General features: G+C 61.7%; 1 protein-coding gene and 1 non-coding gene across 2 annotated transcripts, besides 4 other annotated features; one reads left to right on the forward strand and one right to left on the reverse strand.

Moving 5' to 3' along the window:
* Window positions 1–2,957: part of a non allelic homologous recombination region, noted in NCBI's record as "int22h-3 recombination region, recombines with the int22h-1 and int22h-2 recombination regions", that runs on past both edges of the window. NCBI's record gives the evidence for it as "EXISTENCE:polymerase chain reaction evidence [ECO:0000082][PMID:9694739]" and "EXISTENCE:restriction fragment detection evidence [ECO:0001124][PMID:8275087, PMID:8528212, PMID:7981669]".
* Window positions 710–2,957: part of a meiotic recombination region, noted in NCBI's record as "meiotic double-strand break mapped by DNA meiotic recombinase 1 chromatin immunoprecipitation followed by single-stranded DNA enrichment and sequencing in the germ cells of some male individuals with PRDM9 A/A, PRDM9 A/B and PRDM9 A/C genotypes", that runs on past the window's edge. NCBI's record gives the evidence for it as "EXISTENCE:chromatin immunoprecipitation-seq evidence [ECO:0000229][PMID:25395542]".
* Window positions 799–2,505, reverse strand: F8A3 (coagulation factor VIII associated 3). Its single transcript, NM_001007524.2, has one exon. It carries the CDS (start codon window positions 2,483–2,485, stop codon window positions 1,370–1,372), a length of 1,116 nt encoding a protein of 371 aa, NP_001007525.1. The 5' UTR covers window positions 2,486–2,505; the 3' UTR covers window positions 799–1,369.
* On the forward strand, window positions 1,402–1,500 carry MIR1184-3 (microRNA 1184-3). The gene has a single exon (NR_036260.1). It is a non-coding gene; the product is annotated as a microRNA 1184-3 (primary transcript).
* Window positions 1,412–1,424: a nucleotide motif, noted in NCBI's record as "nucleotide motif; similarity to the predicted 13-mer PRDM9 A binding motif (LD hotspot motif), CCNCCNTNNCCNC".
* Window positions 2,578–2,590: a nucleotide motif, noted in NCBI's record as "nucleotide motif; similarity to the predicted 13-mer PRDM9 A binding motif (LD hotspot motif), CCNCCNTNNCCNC".

A 2,957-nucleotide genomic window follows, 5' to 3' on the forward strand; every position in this document is an offset into this window, starting at 1 on the left:
CATTTGAGGCAGAAAGCCTTGGAAACTTAAGTGTTCTCAAACGGAACGCCATCCTGCTTTGGGGGAACACGGAGGCTGCCTTGCAGTCACGTGATCGCGCAACACCAAAGGGCCACGCACTCTGATTTCACCTACTTAACTAAAAGTTGCAGCAAAATCCCTATTACAGGCCAGGCGTGGTGGCTCATGCCTGTAATCCCAGCACTTTGGGAGGCCGAGGAGGGTGGATCATTTGAGGTCAGGAGTTGGAGACCAGCTTGGCCAACATGGTGAGACCCCATCTCTATTAAAAATACAAAAATTAGCCCAGCGTGGTGGTGCACGCCTGTAATCCCAGGCACCCTGGAGGTTGAGGTAGGAGAATCGCTTGAACCCAGGAGGCGGAGGTTGCAGTGAGCCGAGATCACGCCACTGCGCTCCTGCCTGGGCGACAGAGTGAGACTCCATCTCGGGGGGGGAAAAAAAAAAAAAAAAAAAAATCCCTATTACAAATAAAAGCTGTTGTGATCCAGACTGCATATACCTCTGCGAATGGAACCAGAACCGTGAATTCCAATGCAAATCGATGCATCGGCACCAGACCCGCTGCACTGGATGTATCTGCATTGCAGTCACCCGAGTACGGAGCACATCATAGATGATCTCTGCAGGTTCGTTGCCCACATAGGAGGCATAGCGCAAATTTCAAAGGAACGAATACATCCTGGAGCCCAAACAGCTATCTGGTTCTGCTGCTGGCCTCCTGACAAGTAGGTAAGAGAGTCACATTTTATAGACGACGGACACCAAAACCACACATGAGGAGTACAAGAGTAGCTTTATCATGGATTTAGGGCTGTGGTTACAAGGAAGCTGTAAGGAATAAAATGACTCCCATGAAGACGTACCGTGCGGACGAGTGGAAGGAGAAATTTGGCCATTACAAAGACACAGGAATATGTTAAGAAGTGAGGGGCAGGATGAAATCATCTAGGGTAGGTATTTAGAGGGAGGGCGCCGTGCAAAATAAAATCCTCACTATGAAACAAAGGCGGAGGCAGGAGGCTGCGTTGGGTGGAAGCAGCGGAGGAAGGAGACGAAAGGGATTGTCATTTTCATGTCGTGGCTTTTTAGAAGACAGCCATGTCCTCTACTCTGATTCTATCAAAATGTGTTCTCGGGGTGCTGGTAACGTTCAGCCAACGAAATAATTCCTATGGCGGCAGTAGGAATAACAAAACGCAGAAGCGGGAACGATGTCTTTTTATTCCTCCCCAGACGCAAACGTGGATGCATGAGGTTTGGTAACAGGCAAAGTCATCTGGTTAACGTGACTGATGCAAAAAGTCCCGGCCTGGGCAAAAAGAAGTCACTGGGTGAATGGGATGGATCAGACTCCCTGTCCTGAGGGGGAGATGGTTTCTTGCAGAACGAGGTGAAGGAGGTGGTTCTGCTCAGCAGTCAACAGTGGCCACATCTCCACCTGCAGCGACTTGATGGCTTCCGTGTCCTTTTCGTGGGTAGCCATGACCAAAGACTGGAGCAGCAGAAAGAGCTCCTCGGGAAGCTGGCCGCTGCTCTCCTGCCCGTGGCTGTCAAAAGCCTCCCAGGAGTACTTCTCCAGGGTCTGGGCGTGCTCCGGCAGCAGCTTGGCGGGCGGTGGTTGCAGGAGGAGCAGCAGCAGCACGCGGGACACCTCGCAGCGGACCAGCACGTCCGAGAAGGCGCCCAGGGCGGCGGGAGAGGGCGCCGCCGAGCCGGAGTTCGGAGGAAGCAGCGCGGCCGGTAGGGCGGGCGTCGCCCCGGGCCCGGGCTGGGGTGCCGGCGGCGGGGGCGGCGGCAGTGACTGCACCGGGTGGCTGCCGTGCTCCCGCGCCAGGCGCTGCATGCGCGTGAAGACCGCCAGGGCGCCGGTGTAGTCGCGCGCCAGCAGCTGGCAGGAGGCGGCCTCGCCAAGCGCCTGCAGCGCGGCCAGGGGCAGCTGGGGCAGCTGGAGCTGGGCGGCGCGCTGGAAGTGACCGGCGGCGGCGGCCGGCTGGCCCAGGTCGCGCAGGGCGGCGGCCAGCTCGAGGCAGAGGGCGGCGGCGGCGGCCGGCTGGCCCAGCTCGAGGTGCAGACGCACCGCGGCGCCCAGGGCGCTGGCGGCGGCCTGCAGCGGCTCCCCGTAGGCGGCGGGGCAGACCAGGCGCTGGCGCGCGTCGCGCTCCTGCCGCAGGAAGAGGCGGGCGGCCTCGGTGAGGGCCAGCGCCTCCCCGGGCCCGTGGAAGAGCGCCTGCTGGCAGCGCGCCACCGCCAGCTGGCACCAGGCCGCGTAGGGCAGACACTCCTGGGCGCGCAGCTCCCGGCCCAGCTGTCCGAACTGCTCGCCGGCCTCCGCCACGTTCGGCTTCCGCAGGAACCGCTTCTTCAGCTTGTTCGATACCAGCCGGTAGCGGGCCAGGAAGTCCCCGGCCTCGGGTCCCGGGCCGGCGCCGCCGCCGCCCAGGCCTGCAGCCGCTGCCGCCATGCTCGCCGCCCCAAGCACTTCCCGACGCGCCGCCGCAGCTGGCGGGCGGGCCGGGGCGGGGCGACGTGCCCTGCGTCCCCCTCGGCGGGCTGCCGCCGTGCCCGCGCCGGCTCCCCAGCCCGAGCCTGCCCCTTGCCCTGGTGAGGTGCAAAGAGCGGGATCGGAGGCGGGGCCTGGCCGGGCTGTGAGCGGCGTATGCAAATCGAGGGTCTCGGGGATGCGGATCCAAGACCCTGGGAAGGTACGCGGGGCCTGGCGGGGCACCAGCTGCTGCTAGCTCGGCTGCAATGCAAGTGGTCTAGGTTGCTAAAGGCATCCCACAGCCTCTCCATCTGAACATGACCCAAAGGAAACTCGTGACCCTAATTCCATGTCTGCGCATTTCTGGACTGTTGTCCCCCCCCCCCCCCCCGCCCCGACTACTCAGTCCTCCGTCTTCCGGTCCAGGGCCCCTTGCCAAGCACCGGGTCCA

Source organism: Homo sapiens, chromosome X (assembly GCF_000001405.40).
Source record: "Homo sapiens chromosome X, GRCh38.p14 Primary Assembly".
In the NCBI taxonomy this organism is placed as follows: Eukaryota; Metazoa; Chordata; class Mammalia; order Primates; family Hominidae; genus Homo; species Homo sapiens.